This window comes from Homo sapiens, chromosome X (genome assembly GCF_000001405.40).
Source record: "Homo sapiens chromosome X, GRCh38.p14 Primary Assembly".
In the NCBI taxonomy this organism is placed as follows: domain Eukaryota; kingdom Metazoa; phylum Chordata; class Mammalia; order Primates; family Hominidae; genus Homo; species Homo sapiens.
The window spans coordinates 22,137,489-22,156,770 of NC_000023.11; the positions used below are offsets into that span (position 1 = coordinate 22,137,489).

Consider the following 19,282-nt stretch of genomic DNA (forward strand, 5'->3'; position numbering starts at 1 on the left):
TTCTTGCAGAGGGCGAAACAGAGGTGTAGCCCACTTCTTTGGCTTTGTCTCTAAGCTCTACCAGGCCTAGGTACTGGACTTCTCCCAGGTATGCGGTCAGGGCTCTGCTTATATCCGGAGCCTGGTGGTTCTCAAGGTGTGGTTCCAGACCAGTAGCAGCAGTGGTCCCTGGGAACTCATTAGAGATGCAAATTTTCACATCCCCACCTGCTGAGCTCTGGGAGTAGGGCTCAGTGCCTTGTGTTTTACCTGGTGATTCTGCTGCGTGAAAAGGGTTGGGAACCCCTGTCTTGTCCTTACCACTTCACAGCACACCTGCCTGACTTCCAACTGCAGCCTCCTGCATTTTGGCCAAGAGCATTCTCTCCCTGCTACAGCCTGCTTTGCTACTCATAAAGAGGGCCCAAAGGACGGGGAATGACCACACCTTCCTCAGAAGTCCTCACCCAACAGTTGATGGGAGTTGCTGTGTGTGGCCCCCGCTCCCTCATCCCTCTAGTGCGTGTTCCACATGGGCTCTGGGAGCTTTTCCAATGGGCTAGAGCTATTATACTAGCTAAGATACTCGTTGCTGACTGCCTTTCTTTCTCTACATATTTCCTCTTTCTCCTACCAGTGTTTCTTTTGCTGCCCAAATGAACTGCTCGCACTTGAATCCTTGTCTTAGAGTCTGTTTCTGGGGGATTCCCAACTAGGACACAGCCCCTGGGGGTATACGCTTTCCCAGTGCTTCCTTGCCTGTAAGGCAACAGCACATTTCACCGAGTCTGGTTGCTAGCACTGCTTCAGCAGACTCAATGCCACAAACATTTCTAGCACACCAACAGCATGCCAGGTGCTGAGCCGGGATTCGGACTCAGAGATGAGCAGCCACAGTCCCTTTTCTGCGGGGGCCTTCAGGCTCCTAGGAGAGAACAGGAGGCCATGGATGCAGGGCAGACCAGGAGAAGTGTTAGGTAACGTGATGGAGACGAAAGGGGTCCTGGGAGTCTAGGGGAGCTCAAACATGACATGTGAGGGTGCCTTACTTGGGAAGTGCCTACTCTGCCCCTTTCTCTCTTCCTCTGTGGTGTTCCCACACCCTGTCTTGCAGCCTTGTGGCAAGTCTTCCTCTTCCTTCCTTACTAATCCCAACTCTGCATCTGGCTGTCACTTCCCCTTGATACCTTCACTCCTGCTTCACCTCACTGTGCATTTTAAATTGTTTCGTAGGAGAAAAGAAACAGAAGGGCTTTCATCAAACTGTCTCCTGCCCTTTCCAGTTACAGATTCTAGCACATTTGCATAACCGCTCAAGAATGCAGTCACCCTGCGTCTGGCATCCACTCCAGGGCTCACCAGGGACAGTGACTGGTAGACCAGCATGGAAACCGCGGGCTGTGGCTCCCTCCCATGTGCCACCTTCCCGAGCTTGTCCCTTCTCTTTGGCTCTATGTCTCTCTCACACACATGCAGGCCAAGATGGCGGCCTTCATACTTGTATCTCTTTCCTCTCACTGGCCTCAACAGGAAGTATGGTATAGAGGTCAGGAGTATAGACAGGTGAGAGACTGCCTAGTTTCCAAGCCAACTTCTACACCTTATTGACTGTATGACCCTTTGGAAATTACTTAACTTCTTCCACCCTCAGTTTTCACATCCATAAACTGGGGAGATTGGTCCCTGTCTCAGAAGATTTGTTATGAGGATTAAAAGAGCCACTGTGCCTAAAGTACTTATAAGAATGCCTGGAGCATGAGAAAGGCTCCCCAAGTTGTCAGCCGTTTGGTCCAAACTGCTGTGCCTCTGGGAGGGGAGGCTTTGGCTGGACCAGACGGTGAGAGGAGGGATATTTGTGAGCAGCCCCTGCTGAGAGGGTGTTGGAGGGGATGCATTTCTTTTCTCTGGATTTTGGATTTTGTGGTTTTGAACAAATTCAGTATTGTCGTTGTGATATATATTTTAAACACAAAAGTAAATATCTGGTATAAGTGGGAGTTTGATGCATATATCTATTTATTTTTTCGAGTTAAAGTCTCGCTCTGTTGCCCAGGCTGGAGTGCAGTGTTACAATCATAGCTCACTGCAGCCTGAAACTCCTGGGCTCAAGCGATCCACCCACCTTAGCCTCCTGAGTATCTGGAACTATAGGTGTGTGCCCCCACCCACCTTAGCCTTCTGAGTACCTGGAACTATAGGTGTGTGCCCCCACATCCAGCTAAGTGGTTTTCTTAATTTTTTTTTTTTTTTTTGGTAGAGATGGGATCTCACTGTGTTGCCCAGGCTGGTCTCAAACTCTTGGCCTCAACCGATCCGCCAGCTACAGCCTCCCAAAATGCTGGGATTACAGTGTGAGCCACTGCCACACCCAGCCAACATATATTTATTAAAGGCATAGTACATGTGATATCTTACCGGAGTGATTTTCCATGCTCTAGAGCCTCATGTAAATGTCATTTAGGGGGATGCTTTAGGTCATTCATTCTCACACTTGAGCATGCATCAGTGCCATCTGAAGGGCTTGTTAAAACACCAATTGCCAGCCCCACCCCTAGAATTTCTGATTCAGTAGTGCTAAGGTGGAGCCTGGATATTTGCATTTCTGACAAGTTCTCAGGCAATTCTGATGCTGCTGGTCTGGGGCCTGTGCTTTGAGAGCTCTAGGTGATTACAAGTGAAAATGTCCTTATGCCAAGCCTGTGTTAATAGAAGGGTATAATGTTCATTAAGTGATTGTCTTACCTCTTACTGGAGTCCCCTTTTCACCATTTCTCGCAGGTGGGTCCCCTGAGTGAGTACTAGGACACCCAGAACCCAGCCAGGCCACCTACTCTACTGTTGCTGTCTCTGCTAAAGAGCCCTGCTTGAGAGAGATCCAAAGGCTCTTTCTTGGTCATTTCTGCTCCTTGACTCCACATCTGTCCCCAGGAACTACCCAGGTTAAGTCTTCCACATAAAAGCCCTTCCAACGTTTGAAGATGTTTAAATGTTTTTCTTTTTTCTTTATTTTATTTTATTTATTTATTTTTTTCGAGACAGAGTCTTGCTCTGTGGCCCAGACTAGAGTGCAGTGGTGCAATCTTGGCTCACTGCAACCCCTGCCTCCCGGGTTCAAGTGATTCTCCTGTCTCAGCCTCCCGAGTAGCTGGGACCACAGGCATGCGCCACCATGCCCGGCTAATTTTTGTATTTTTAGTAGAGATGGGGTTTTGCTATGTTGGCCGGGCTGGTCTTGAGTTCCTGACCTCAAGTGATCCGCCTGCCTCAGCCTCCCAAAGTGCTGGGATTACAGGCATGAGCCACCGTGCCTGGCTGTTTTTTCTATTTCAAATAAAACACCTTTAGTGTTTCTCACATTAAATTAACCAACATTACAGTCAGACTGGATGTTCTAAATGCTTCACAAATATTAGCTCTCTCAATGCCATAATATCCGTATGAGGTAGGTACTTTTTTTTTTTTTTTAATACAGATGAGGAAACTGAAGCACAGAGAGTGTGAGCACACTTACCCAAGGTCACACAGCTAGTAGGTAGAAGAGCTGGGATTCCCTCCCTAGAGGTCTGGTTTCACAGTCTGTGCTTTTATCCGCAATGCCAGTGGGTCTCAAAGTGTGGTCCCCAGTCCAGAAGCATCGCCATCACTCAGGACTAGCTAAAAATGCAGATTCTTGGCTCTATCCCACATCTATAGAATCAGCAACTCTGGGAGAGGCCCTAGGCATCTGTACTTTAATCAGTCCTGCTGGTGATTCTGATGCAGCCCAAGTATGAGAACCATTGCTCTAAGGTGTGGTTCTGATGCCTCATCCTGCTGGCTGCTCTCCAGTTTTCAATATCTTTTTTAGAAGCTTAAGTTCAAGGCTGTGCACAATATTCTAGGTATAGTGTAACTCACACAGCACAATGGGAATATTATTACTGCCTTTGTCTTGCATACAAATTATATTAAGAAATCCAAAGTTTACATTATGGCTATCTTTTCCCCTCAGCCATTCACTGTTGGCTCATAACGAATTTCTAGTCAGTTAATTTCTAGGTCTTTTTTTCCCCGCTCACAGGAACTGTTGTTAAGCCCTGTTGCTCCAGTCCTAAACTTGGCATTAAAAAACAAACAAAAAAAAAAACCCTCATCCCAGAACTTCACATTTATTCTTATTAAAATCCATTTAGTTGTTTTGGTTCATGGCTCTGGCTTTCAAAAAGTATATTTCTGGACCTCCTACATGTTTATTATTGTTTTAAAAATCTATGCTCATTTAAAAAATCTGGAAAATAAAGCACAACAGTAGAAAGACAAAAAAAAGTTCTAGTTCCATCATCTAAACATAACTGCTGCTAACATTTTGATGTATCACTTTGACTTTTTTCCCATACATAGGCTTTGAAAGGCATTCTTGAACAATGATGTTTATAAAAATTTGAGTTCTTTTTTCTCTTAACATTTATTATAAGCATTTCTTGTATTATTGCATATTCTTTATGCAAGAATATTCACTGTTGGCTGGGCACAGTGGCCCACACTTGTAATCCCAGCACTTTGGGAGGCCGAGGCGGGTGGATCGCTAGAGGTCAGGAGTTTGAGACCAGCCTGGCCAACATGGTGAAACCCTGTCTCTACTAAAAATACAAAAAATTAGCCGGGTGTGGTGGCAGGCGCCTGTAATCCCAGCTACTTGGGAGGCTGAAGCAGGAGAATCGCTTGAACCCGGAAGGCGGAGGTTGCAGTGAGCCAAGATTACGCCGCTGCACTCCAGCCTGGGCGACAGAGTGAGATTCTATCTCTCACACACACAAAAAGAATATTCACTACTATGACATATTCTTCTAGTGGTGGCACAGGAGGTACTACTTAAACATTTCTCTATAGTTGCATGTTTAGGTTGTGCTGTTATAGTTATTACTATGATACACATCTTTTGCATAATGCCTTCTCCCTAAATGTAGGACTAATTCCTTAGAATGGCATCTCAGACAACCTTTGAAAAGGTCAACTCTTTCCTTCAGTATATCAACTACTGTTTCTATGTCGTTCATAACTTGATAAGTTTGTTTTTTAGTTTTATTATTTTGGGGTTATTATGAATGGACATGCTCAAAAAAAGGGAATTGGAATCAGCCAATTTGTTCATCCTTTGGCAATGCCCTTCCAGATTTATCTATTGAACAAAAATATTCAGGGAGAAACTTCTAAGTGGTGAGTCTTTTGTTAGGTGCCAGTCAATTCACTAACTAATAGATTTTTGGTCTAGTTGTTCTACTTTGGACAAACTCCATGGAACTATGATTTAAATTCTCCCTTTTGCCTGCAAGGAGACCTTGAGATATTTAGCAATGCGTTGATATCATCCAGTTATACTGTATTTAGGGCATTCTTTAATTTACCAATGTATTGTTCTGTTTAAAATGTGGAAACCTGAGGAAATGAACAAAGCTTCACTGGGTTCTCATTTTTCTGAAGTTCCATGTTACCTAAGTGCAGATTATATCATTCTGTGAAAACAGCCAGCTGTTCAGGCAACCAAATCAGAAATCTCAGTCTTTCCTCTTAGCCAACTTGTAAGCACAAATCGTGTTGCTTCTTTCTGCCAGCTCTCAAATTTATACCATTTCTGTTTTAGTTATTCCCCTCCCTTAGCTTCTCATCCTTAAACATTTTTTTTAATTGAGGTAAAATTCACCTAACATAAAACTAACCATTTTAAAGTGAACAATTCTCAATTAGATAGAAGAAATAAGCTCTCATGCTCAATAGCAGATTATAGTGACTACAGTTAGCAACAGTATATTGTATATTCCAAAGCGGCTAGAAGAAAGGACTTGAAATGTTACCAACACATAGAAATAATGAATATTCACAGTGATGGGCACTCCAAATACCCTGACTTGATCATTACACATTCTATGCAGGTAAAAACTACTCACATGTACCCATAAATATGTACAAATATTATGCATCAATAAAAGAAAAGAAATGAAGTGAGCAATTCAGTGGCACTTAGAACATTCACAGTGTTGTGTGATCACCACCTCTATCCAGTTCCAAAACATTTTTGTAACTCCCAAAGGACACTTTGTACCCATTAAGCAGTCACTCTCCATTCCCCACTCCCCCAGCTCCTGACAACTACCAATCTGCTTTTTGTTTCTATGGATTCATGTATTTTGGATATTTCCTGTGAATGAGATCACGCACCAATGCGATTTTTGTGACTGGCTTCTTTCACTTAGCCTTATGTTTTCGAGACTCATCCACTTTGTAGCATGTATCTTCTCATTCTGTTTAATTGGCGTCCCCATTGATAGTCTTGGAAAAGGAATAGCAAAATAAACCCCTGTAGCATTTCTGATAGTGAGATCTTTCCTGTCTTCTCTGAACTTTTTGCAATAGCATCGTAGTGTTTATTCATAGCTGAAATACTATCCCCCAGCTATATATTACTGAATTGAAGCAACTCCTGTAGGGAAAGAAGTATGTCTGACTACTTTATTTTTGTATTTTCAGAACCTAATGTGGATCTGACACTCCATTCTTTGACCACTGGGCAGAACTTAGTAAGAACCATGGCTTTACCAAACACTAGCTATGGGACCTCAGGCAAGATGGGCAGTTTTGGGGGTCTCAGTTTCCTCACTCATGAAATGGGGACAAATACTTTTGTCCCTATTTTTACTGAGTGGAACAATTAATATATGTGCAGTGGCTAGCACAGAGTAAGTGCTCAGTATTAGTAAGATGACATGTTCATTTTTTTTTCCCAAGTTTCCTCTAACTGCCTCCCTCACTAAATAACATGCTCCATTATAGTGTCTTAAAATTGGGAATGAAAAAGTGATGCCAGTTACATAATTACATTGTTTTCTTTGGGGCAGAGGTACAAAATAGAATTTTATTAAACTTTGCCTCTAATATTTAAAAATATTTTTATGGAAATTTAAAAATGTACGCAAAAATGTACATAACTAATCTCCGTATACTTATCACCCAGACTCAACAGTTAGTAATATTTTATCATGCTGATTTCATCTACTCCCCTACTTGTTTTTATGCTTGAGAATTTTAAAGCTAATTCCATCTATGAAATCATTTTACTATGATTCCATCTCTGACACCATTTTACTATAAATATTTCATTATGTATCTCCAACATATAAGGAATTTTAAAAACCTAACTATAATACCATTAACATACTTGACAATATTAACATTAATTCCTTATTAGTATCCTGTCTGTGTGCAGTTTCCTATAATTATCTCAAAATTGTTTGCTTTCTTTTTTTTGAAAAAAAAAAAATGGTTGATTTGAATCAGTATCCAGATGAGGTCTGCATATTGCAGTCAATAGGTACATCTTTTAAAGCTTTTTAAATTTTAAGAGTACCGCCTCTCCATCCATGAAATTTATTTATGAAATAAATTGAGTCATTTGTCTGGTAGAATTTTTAACAATCTTGTTTTGCTAGTTATTTCTTAATGTTGTCTTTTAACATGTTGTTCTGTCTCTTACATTTTCTGTAATTGGTTCTATCTAGAGGTTTGATTAGATTCAGGTTCAATTTTCTTTGGATAAGAAGACTTCATAGGCAGTGCTGTGAGCTTCCTGTTGCATCTATCAAGAGGCTCACAATGCCACGTTGTCCCACTTGCAAAGCGAAGGGCGATCCGTGTGTTCAGGTGTTGTCAGCCTGATCCTTTCATTTGAACTTTCTTACCATTCCTCATGCAGCAGTCCTGTTTCTTGGCTGTACATTAGAATCACCTGGGAAGCTTTTTAAAAATCCTGAGGCTCAGGCCACACCCCATATGAAGATCAGACTCTCTGGGAGTGGGACACAGGCATTTTCTAAAGTTACCCAGGAGGGGCCCGGCGCAGAGGCTTACGCCTGTAAACGCATCACTTTGGGAGGCCGAGGTGGGTAGATCACTTGAGGTCAGGAGTTTGAGACCAGACCAGCCTGGCCGACATGGTGAAACCCCATCTTTACTAAAAGTACAAAAATTAGCCAGGCATGGTGTCATGCACGTGTAATCCCAGCTACTTGGGAGGCTAAGACAGGAGAATTGCTCGAATCCAGGAGGTGGAGGTTGCAGTGAGCCAAGATCATGCCACTGCACTCCAGCCTGGGTGATAGAGCAAGACTCTGTCTCAAAAAAAAAAAAAAAAAGTTACCCAGGAGATACAAATGTGCAGCCAGGCTTGAAACCACTGACTTAATTGTTTCAGTGGCCATTGATAATATTTCATTGATTCGTGATTCCATTCGGTGTTGCAATGTTTGATTTTCAAATTCTATCATTCTTTTTGCATTTATTAGCTAGGCTGTTTTTATAAAAAAGGATTTTCCCTCATCAACCACTTGATTACTCTGACATATAGTTTATACAGGAAAGACAGCATAAATGGCTATCTTTCTCTTGATTAATTTTCACAAGTTGGTGCCCTAAGCACTTCCAGAGGTGCCAAAATAGTTTTCTTTTTAGTATCACCAACTTAGGGAATCTTATGTATTTGATGTGTTTAAATTTGTTATGATCATCATTCACTGAAGCTCAGATTGTCCCATCTTGGCCAATGTGGGGCTCTTCCTTTAGTGAATTTTGACATGACCCTAGTTGTTTTTGAAAGCATCTTTGCCTCCTGGCACAAGATATTCTCTTTAATGTTTAACCTCTATTTAATCATAAGCTGTTTTGAACAATTTGTAAATCAGTGCCTAAATTAGTTCTCCCACCAATGAACAGTATATTGATTTTTTTCTGATGGGGAAAGGGTAGCACCTTACTAACTTGAAATACAGCATTTTATTAATGAGCAAATTTGCAGAAATATCTGTTAGAGACTGATGTAAATTATCTTTTGTAAGGGGCAGTAGCTTATATCAATAGAAACACACGTAATATGTACTCCATGGTTTTTGAAAACCTCTGCAGTGTTGCATTTTCAGTGTTGATCATCAAGAATACAAATATATAACCATGTCATACATTTTAAAAACAAATAATGCTAGTGTTGAGGAATATAACTAATTTCAAATTTGTGGAACAGTGGGACTATATTAAAAGATGAGTCTGGGTGTGGTGGCTCACATCTGTAATCTCAGCACTTTAGGAGGCTGAGGCAGGCGGATCACTTGAGGCCAGAAGTTTGAGACCAGCCTGGCCAACGTGGCGAAATCCCATCTCTACTAAAAATACAAAAATTAGCTGGACGTGTTGGCACGCACCTGTAATCCCAGCTATTTGGGAGGCTGAGGCAGGAGAATCGCTTGAACCCAGGAGGCAGAGGTTGCAGTGAGCCAAGATTGTGCCACTGCACTCCAGCCTGGGCAAGAGAGTGAGACTCTGTCTCCAAAAAATAAATAAATAAAATAAAATTAATTAATTAATTAATTAAAAAAATAAAAGACGAAACTTGGAATAGTAAATACTTAAAAATTCTAACAATATCAACAGGTAGTGATAGTTTAAACATGTACTGTAAAAGTGTTTGGTTTTTAAGGGTATGTAAGAGACTGGTTGTCTGTGGGACTTTGAAAGCAGTTGGGAAATGCCACAATAGCCTCAGTATAAAATTCTAGAGACCCAAAGCGGAGAGAGATGCCTCTTAAGAATTATGGAGGATATTTATTACTTTTATTCATGGGATGGGTGGTGGTGATTTAATGCCTGTCTCTTGTTTCTTTTGTTTTTTTTTGTTATCCAAATCCAAATCCAAATTATATGAGGAATTCACTTAAAAATATACGTTTAGTTTGGTTTAATAAAAATAATCAGTTTTGATGTATTGACTTTTAATTTCATGGGGGAAAGAGTCCATTAGGAATGTTCAGGCTTTCTGTGTATATTTTGTGTTGCTCATTCTCTTTGGCCCAAGATGAAACTAATAGCCACAATGTGTCTGCTTTGGTGCTGTCTCTAGGGTTGTGTCTGCTGCTGTCAGCTGCACCCTTGTTATCTGGCTGCTGGTCCTGCTCAGTCAGTTGTACAGGAATGTCATTTCCATTAATAACCCCAGGGCCGGACAGGCAGATAGTGGAAAATGGGTGAAGAGAGAGAAATTGTATTTAACCCAGTGTTCTGAGTTGTCATTTTTGAGACCCTAGCATAGCTGGGTAAAGGCAAGCAGAGGGCATGACAGCAAATCTATTTCTGGCAGAATCTCATATACAAACTGGAGAAACAGCCTGATACCAAGAGAAGAAAGGGTGAAATATACTGGGAAAAGAGGGAAAGATTTGGGGTTGGAAAAGTCAGAGGAAACAATGTTAGGAAGAAATAACATGATCAAGTATTCTGATAGAGGTGCTGACAACTTTGCAAAATAAATTTAATTTTGATTGTAAATGCCATCATTTGTGGTGGTTCAAATGAACAAAATTCCTTTTTAAAAAATGAAATTTATGTAAGGATTGCTCATAGAAGATTTTGGAGTTTTGTGCTATGTTTTTTTTTTTTTGGTTCTGGATCAGTGAAAGGCCCGAGGAACAGAGTAGGTTTTATTTTTTTTTCCATCTAGGTAGAATGACTCAGTTACTGTAGTTGTCTGTGTTTTGGTTATTTATTGCTGCATAACAAATTACCCCAAAACTTGCTGGCTTAAAACAAGTATTTTATTATTTCCTATGATTCTGTGGGTTGGCTGGGCTCAGCTGGGTGGCTCCTCTGCTGGTTTCACCTGGAGTCCCTTAGGCAGTTGCAGTCAGATGGTGGCTGTGGCTGGACGTCCAAGGTGGCTTCTTCACACATGTGTCTGGCACCTCAGTGTTCCTCATGTGGCTTTCTCAACAGGGTGCTGTGGTACTCCTACAGGGTAGCTAAGAGTGCCAAGAAGAGAAAGCAGAAGCTGCCGGTCCTCTTAATGTCTGTTCTCAGAAGTCTCAGAATATAATTGACAAATAATAATTGTATATATATTTTTGGGGTACAGTGTGATGTTTTGATGTATGTATACATTATAGAAAGATTCAATCAAACTACTTAACATATCCATCACTTCACAAACTTATTTTTTTGGTAAGAACATTAAAAATCTATTATTTTAGCAATTTTGAAATATATAATAAATTATTATTAACTGTGGCCACCATGCAGTACAATTGGTTACTAAAACTTATTCTTCCAGTCTAATTGAAATTTTGTGCCCTTTAATCAAAATCTCCCCTTTCCCTATCTCTCCCCCTCCCTCCAGCCTTTGGTAACTACTTTCTACTCTCTGTTTCTATGAGAACAACTTTTTAAGATTCCACATATAAGTGAGATTATACAGTATTTTTCTTTCTGTGTTTTGCTTACTTAGCATTTTTTTTCTATTTTTCTGTTTGGTTGATTAGGCTATTTTTCATTATTGACTGAATTATTTTTTTCTGTTTAGCTCAAGACCATTGTATACATCGACTCACAGAAGTATTTGAGTAAGCCTAATCATTGTTGAACTGTGATGGGGAAAGGATTCAGCCTTGGGACACGTGACCTTTGTGTACAGGTGTAAGAAATTCCTACTAGGTTTTAGGGCCCAGAACTGGACTAGGCCATGAGGGACCCAACCCATCCTAGTAGGCAAATCATTTTCCAGTTTTATATTTGAGTTCATTAGTAAATAAGTTTACTTTCCATTATAGACACCCCCTCCACTGACTTATGGGGTCCTGTACGCCATAACCAAAGACTCAGTGTTGGAAAGGTGATGCTCCACTCTGTGTCTTTGTTTAGCTAAGGTGAAGGGGACAGGTCTGCCACCCTGGTATATTCTGGTATTCTCTCATTGGCAGTCTTAGTGAAGGCTCATGAGAGCTTCCTCACAGAGGTTTGTAAGGATTAGAACTGAGTGGAATAGACCTGTTCCAGGGCAGAGTGAAGCCGAGGACAACAGTGAGATTGTGTCCTTCAGGGCCACAGACCAGAACCTTTACTCAACTCTGATGTTAAGCTATAAAGCTAGTTTACAAGTTTATGGAACAATTCAGCTTGTTCTTCCAGGCTCTTGAAAATGAAGGTTAAGGCTGGGCCCGTGGCTCATGCCTGTAATCCTGTAATCCCAGCACTTTGGGAGGCCAAGGCGGGTGGATCACTTGAGGTCAGGAGTTCGAGACCAGCCTGGCCAACATGGCAAAACCCTGTCTCTACTAAAAATACAAAAATTAGCCAGGCGTGGTGGTGCCTGCCTGTAATTCCAGCTACTCGGGAGGCTGAGGCAGGAGAATCGCTTGAACCTGGGAGGCGGAGGTTGCAGTGAGCCGAGATCATGCCATTGCACTCCAGCCTGGGCGACAAGAGCGAGACTCCGTCTCAAAAAAGAAAATGAAGGTTAAGTTTTGGCAAAGTGATTTGTATAGATCTGTAATACATCATGTTCTAATGAGGTCCAATGAGTTCTAAGTAATTTCTGATTTCCATTAAAAATGATTCATGAAAAAATAAGAATCTCATCAGAGAGAGAGAGAGACCACTTTTGAAATGAGGAAAAATGACAGAATAGAAAAGGAGAAAGTCTCTTTTCTCTCTTCTTCCCCAAGCCCCCCTCATCACTGGTTACTTATTTGAGCATCCTTTATCAGCATCTAATGAGAATGAGAACATAGTGGGATGCCATGTGACCTTTTGAGTAGGAATTGGAAGCTCTTATGAAGTTTCCAGCCTGATGTCACTTCAGATCCAGGTCATTAATATTTAAAAAAATAAAAAAAATAAAAACTCTTAGGTGATTCGAATGAGCAGCCAAGTTTGAGAAGCAGAGCCCTACTGGAGCAATGCTTCTGCAACTTGAATGTACATGCAAATCTCCTGGGGACTTGGTTAAAAATGCAGATTCTTAATAAGTTTGGAGGGGAGCCTGAGAGTCTGCATTTCTAACAAGCTCCCAATGGAGGCCGATGCTGCTGGACAATGGCCTATGGACCATACTTTGAGAATATAGAGCAGGGGGCAGCAAACTTTTCACATATGAAGGCCTGAGAGTAAATATATTGGGCTTTGCAGGTCATGTGGTCTCTGTTGCAGCAACCCAAATATACCTGTAGTACAGAGCAGCAATAGGCAATAGGCAAACAAATGGGTGTGGCTGCGTGCCAATAAAACTTTATTTACAACACCAGGCAGTATCCTGAATTTGTCTTACAGGCCGTGAGCCAATAAAACTTTATTTATAACACCAGGCAGTATCCTGAATTTATTTTACAGGCTGTGACTTGCCAACTTGGTCTAGAGCTTTCCCTGTCTCAAGTTTTTGAGCCGTATCTTGCTTCTTCCCTGTTTTGTTGGGCTGAATCTTAGGTAAGAATTAAATGGTTTTGAAAGAGGTTACTCAATGGCTTTGTTGAACTGATGAATAATTGATGATGACATTTAGGCTCTGTTTACAAACAGCCCCAATTGTCCCTTGGTTGTGGCTCATTGCTTTGCCTTGAATATAGGTGGCCTTTCTGATTTCTCTCCCTAGACTGCCTCTTCAGCAATGGATCGAAACAGAGCTAGGGTTTATTCTAAAATGTGGCCCACGGGCATCTCAGAATAAATAACCAGGTCTGAACTGTAGAGGCAGAGGGTGGCTTCAGGTCACTTTTCCTTGACCTGCATTTTACAACTCATCTCTGGTGTTTTGTCTAAGGCGACAGAGGCTGGTATTTTGGCTATCTGAGAGGTAGAGAGCAGAGAGGTTCCTGGACATGTACATTTTGTGTTGAGATAGGTCATGCCCCAGATATGGCTATTAATGGTAGCAGAGAGTTAAATGTTGCTGATAATATATTCTAATAAGTAGATAATACAGAACCAAGTTGTCAGAGTTTTGGGGGGACCCAAATTTGGAACCAAGGACTCAAAGCTCAGAAGGGTTCCATCTTGTGGGCTTCAGGAGTAAGGTGCAAGATTCCTGGTCTGCTGCTCATGGTAAATTTCCTGCATTTCAAACCCCAAAGTCAGTTAGGCCTAAGCTTCAGGAAAGTTTTCAGTTTAATTGGTTCAAAACTGAAACAGACTCTCATCTATCTTTATGACAGTGCTAGGATTCCTAAGGGAGAGGTGTTACTCCTCTTCTGAAATGGGAGGATGTGGGCCAGGAATCCTTGGGCCAGGGATGCTTATGGCAGACTCCATTTCTCAGCATGGTTTTGGCTGGGAATTTCCTCTATGAGATTGACCCTTCTCTCCCCGAGGTGCCATTTTCTGGAATACCACCTTCTCTCTGCTGGTAAAATCTAATTTACCTTAGTGCCTTGACTGGTCTGCAAAATAAATGTTCTGACGTTTCCTGACAGGAGAGCCTGTCCTCTCTGCTTTCTGCTTCTTTATCATTCTTGTACTTTCTTGCCTTGCCTTTTCCATTTTGATCTTCTCTCTTGGCCAAGTCTTGTCTTCCGGGGGCTCTCAGTCAAAGTTTAGTCCCACCGATGTCCAGAACAGAAAGCTCAGTGGTATTATTTTTAGAGAGGGAGGGAGAACCTCTTAAAAGCATACTTAAAATTCTATCTGTGTGTGTCTTTTCATCCTTACATCTGAGAATATTATTTGTCTTGGCATGTTGAATATGGTTACTAATGCAGATGTGGTCTGTGCCTTACATGTTATTCAGTTTGATTTATAAAAAATGAATAATTATATAATAGAATATTTAATCACTCAGAAGATAATATATGTTGGGAAAACATGAAATTTGAAGTCAGATTAAGGCTAAATTAATCTAGGTGAGAAGTTGGTTTTGGCCCTCATTGCCTGTGTAGACTTGGGGTGAGTTGCGCTCATTTTCTGAGTCTTAGCTTATGAGCTGTGAAATGGGGATGATCTGTACCTACCTTGTACAGTTAGGGTAGGATTTGGATCTGATGATGAAGTAAAGTACTTAGCACAGTACCTGGTTTATAGTAAGGGTTTAATGGAGAGCATTACTTTTGTTATTTAAAAAATTATGTCTATTGTTTCTGTTTCTGTTTAGCTCTGAGATCTCCTCCTCTTTGAAAATGTCCTTTCCACAAGGCCCTTCCCTTCCCATCCATTCCATCTGACCCTCTACCTTCTTCTGTTGTTTTTTCTCTTACATCGCATTCTCTCCCTATGACCAACTATGAACTCCTGAAGGAAAGAAATCCAGTTTATTAAACTGTGTGTCTTCACTCCGTCTAAACACAACAACATGGACAAATTTCACAGATGTGTTGTTGAGTGGAAGAAGCCAGATACAAAAGAGTACACACTTTTTTTGAAGTTCAAGAACAGGAAAAAGTAATTTATGGAGACAGAGATCAGGATAGCGGTTCTTTTGAAGGTGGAAGGGTTATTCACTGGGGAGGTACCCAGGGGAGTCTTCAGGATGCTATAAATGTTTTAAATCTTGTCTCAGGCCTACTAACACAGATGTGTGTATGTTTTAAAAAATATTTGATTGGTATACTTAGTATTTGTGCACTTTGTACGATATAGTGCAGTAAAAATTTTAAAAGATGTTTCCCAGTATGCAGGGCTTATTTGCCTTTTAGTGATCATTCAGTAAAAGGTTGAATATTTAATGGATGTCATGATGAAGTAAATGATCAACTTTTTTTTTTTTTTTTGAGACAGGGTCTTGCTCTGTCACCTAGGCTGGAGTGCAGTGGCACCATCATAGCTCACTGCAGCCTCAATCTCCTGGGCTCAAGAGATAGTCCTGCCTCAGCTTCCTGAGTAATTGGGACTATAGGCATGCACCACAATGCCAAACTAATTTATTTTTTTGTAAAGATGGTGTCTCCCTATGTTGCCCAGGCTGGTCTCGAACTCCTGGGCTCAAGCCCCCACCTTGGCCTCCCAAAATGCTGAGATTACAGCTGTGAGCCACCGTACCTGGCCCTAAGTGGTTAATCTTAATCACCATGTGACCAAGACCAAATTTTAAGGAAGATGTAGCATACATTTTGGAAAACATGGTAGACATAATTCATAATTTATAGCCAGAATTCACGCTGTTGTTCATGGCGCTACTTGGATCTTCACATAGCTGTTTCAGAAAATATAGTAAATGCGAACGGCAGGACTTGCAATTTCAGACAGTTTGTGCAGTTGGCAGGACAGAGAACACAGAGTGGGGATACGGTCCTGTCAGATTGGTGGAAAACCTCATTTTTAATTGATTGTCTATTGCATCTATGCCCCTCTTTTCCCACCCTCCCTTTGTCCTTTTATCAATTCTACTTGGAAATAAAATCTGCAACTCTAATAGATGCTACTGACACTCGTGCAGCAATTCTACCAGATGGCATTCGAATCTCGGGTGTTCTATGAAAAATGAAAAGACCAAACACATGCACAAATAAATGAAGGTTGAATTAATCTTTATAATTAAACGGAATATTACCCTGCTATGACTGATTTTTGCTTTCAAACTGGATTGCGTGCTAATTTTTCAGTGAACTGTAATTGTATTAACATGGCTTTTTTGATGCCTGAAAGTACTTAAAAATAGATTTTGCGAAGTTACTGAGAGAAAAGTTATTAGAACTTTTAATCTAAACATCTCTAAGATCCTGAGGTATATTTATATCACGACTTACAGCTGCAAAGCATTTTCCAATAGTTTTTTATTCTTTGTCCCTTATCATCCTGGGATTTAGGTGGCACTGGCCAGAAATTGGGTTGAATTGCAAGTACCTGAGGCACGTTAGAAAATTGATGTCCTACTGTGTACCCACAAAAATTAAAAATAAAAATTAGAAAACAAATATGTACAACTGCTATGTACCCACAAAAATTAAAAATTAAAAAAATGAGTGGGAGGGAAGGTGGTAGAGTTTTCTACATAAAGTGCACCTACTAGCTTAGTAGTGGTGACTATTAGTGAAATCCCTAAGGATTATTGAAGCAGAGGATGAGTCCCCTACTTATGAACTGATAACACAGTGTTGGGGGTTCTCAGAAGTGGGTCCAGAAGCCTTGGTACCATGGCAAGTACCATGATCTACAGCAGAGAGTATCTCAAATTTCAGCAGGCATGAGACTCCCCTATAGTAGTGGTTTTCAACCCAGAGTGATGTTACACACCTGGAGACATTTGGCAATGTCTGGAGATATTTTTGATCACAACTGGGGGGACAGAGGGTGTTACTGGCATTTAGTGGGTAGCAGCCAGGAATGCTGCTAAATATCCTACAATCCACAGAACAGTCCCCAGAGATAAGAATGATTCTTTCCCAAATGTCAATAGTGCCAAGGTTGAGAAACCCTGCCTTATGGTAAGGCTCATTATAATGCAGATTCCTGGGTCCCAGTTCAGAAGCATTCTAACTCAAGAGATGTAGCATTGTCCCACAAATTTGTGTTTTCAACAAGCTCCCACGTGACACAGATGCTGCCAGTCCAAAGACAAAGCTTTGGGAAGCCCTAAGCTAGACGATGCCAGTGTCAAAGGAACAAGCCATATATGTGGGCACTGGCCCTATGACATTCCCTTCTTTTAGAAAAATGATATGAAAATTCCCACTTGCATTGATTGATTGATTGAGACGGGGTCTCGCTCCGTTGCCCAGGCTCGAGTGCAGTGGCATGATATCGGCTCACTGCAACCTCCGCCTCCCGCATTTAAGCAATTCGCCTGCCTCAGCCTCCCACGTAGCTGGGATTACAGGCACACGCCACCATGCCTAGCTAATTTTTGTATTTTTAGTAGAGACGAGGTTTCACCATATTGGTCGGGCTAGTTTCAAACTTCTGACCGCAGGCAATCCACCCGCCTCGACCTCCCAAAGTGCTGGGATTACAGGCGTGAGCCATCGTGCCCAGCCCACACTTGTCTAATTTAATAATTCACCAAAGTTATCTCATTTGATCTCTCCCCACCAGTTTATGAGGGAGGTACTTCACAAGGTTTTTAGGTGGTAAAGAATTGTTCATATAAGAGCTAACCTTAAAGGAAAGAATGACAACAATTCCCACTTAAACTGTTGATGAGACAAGGGGATATGTTTATCTAGGTTAATCTCCAACTTGCCTCCTGTTTAAATAAGTAATTTAACAACTGGAGGAGGATTAAGTAGCTGATTAAATTTCTCTGAGAAACGTTAGGTGTTAGGGCCTTGGTATTTATTGCAGGTGTGTTTCTAAGCCCTTTCAACCTTGATATTTGAAAATGTTTTTAAATAATTTGTAAGTATTTTTTCCCATTCCCCAAAAAATGCATTGATTTATTTCATAGTATTTATTCCCATTTTGGTTAATATTTCTATACTGGCTGTGTTTTAAATGTAGATATTTACCTCAACAAAATATGAATATTACAGCTAATTATAGAATTATTTAAATAGTTATTATTTAATTATATATTTCTATCTTGATGAAACTTTCCGAAAAGATTAACCTTTGTGCCTTATTTTTCCCTTGCTATCTTTACTATTGGTTTTGAAAAATGGGGAAACCTCTTGTGTAGAAGAGGGGTTGGCAAACCATTTCTGTAAAGAGACAAATGGTAAACATCTTAGGCATTGTGTGGGCTATATGGCTTCTGTTGCAACTACTCAAACTCCACTGCTGTAGCATGAAAGTGGCAGTAAACAATACTTAAATGAACGTGGCTGTCGTCAGAGAGAAAAAAGCAACTTTTCCTTTACCACTTTAGGTTTAATGTCAGGGCCTGTGAATTAAACTATAAAAGATGGATTAACAAGAGAAAAGCAAAGTTTATTCACTAACCTGCATGAGAGCTTACAGAAAACACAGCCCAGAGAAACAGAATTGGGGGGTTACATATTGTCTTAAGAAGGGGTAGGGTTAGGATTTTAAGGGACAATAAATGGTGGGAAATGACTGAGAAATATATGAGGGGACCTAACAGAAAGTCAGGCTTGCTTTAGTAAGGTCTGTTTATGTAAGTTCTCATCCTGGCGCCAACTTTTTATCCCCGGTGAGAGGAGTTATTTTCCCCCGGTGCAAGAAGTGTCTCTTAAAAGGGGGATTTACGACAGTTGAATTCTTTTGGAAGTCTCTGCTTGTAGGCCGATAAGGGAAGCATGGAGAAAGCCTCTTTCTGCTTGTCTTGATTCTCAGATACCTTCAGCTCAAAATAGTCCTTTGCTACAGTAGCATATTCCGGACCAATAAAACTTTCTTTACAAAAAAACATGTGGTAGGCTGGCTTGGGCTGTAGTTTGCTGACCTCTGATACAGAGCCCTGTGAGTGAGACAGAGACAAACATAATTTATTTTGGCTCATATAAAAGCCTAAGTGTGATATAGGATTGTTCCCACTCTTGGGCTGTTATCATTTTGGTTATGTCTGGATAAATGGGCTTAGCTAATTGAGGCTTAGGGTATTCATTTGACTAGGTCTAGCAGCTGTTCTATTTGC

At 40.9% G+C, this 19,282-nt stretch overlaps 1 protein-coding gene across 7 annotated transcripts in view; it reads left to right on the forward strand.

Annotated features, from left to right (window-relative positions):
- Positions 1–19,282, forward strand: part of PHEX (phosphate regulating endopeptidase X-linked) — a 218,986-nt gene that overhangs the window by 105,164 nt on the left and 94,540 nt on the right. The window contains exon 13 of one of the 7 annotated variants that reach the window (XM_047442159.1): positions 2,758–2,913. The exons of the other annotated variants lie outside the window; for them this stretch is intronic. Coding sequence (XP_047298115.1) covers positions 2,758–2,781 — 24 coding nt within the window. The 3' untranslated portion in view covers positions 2,782–2,913. Of the gene's footprint in view, positions 1–2,757; positions 2,914–19,282 lie in introns of those variants that run through there. 7 annotated transcript variants of the gene reach the window in all.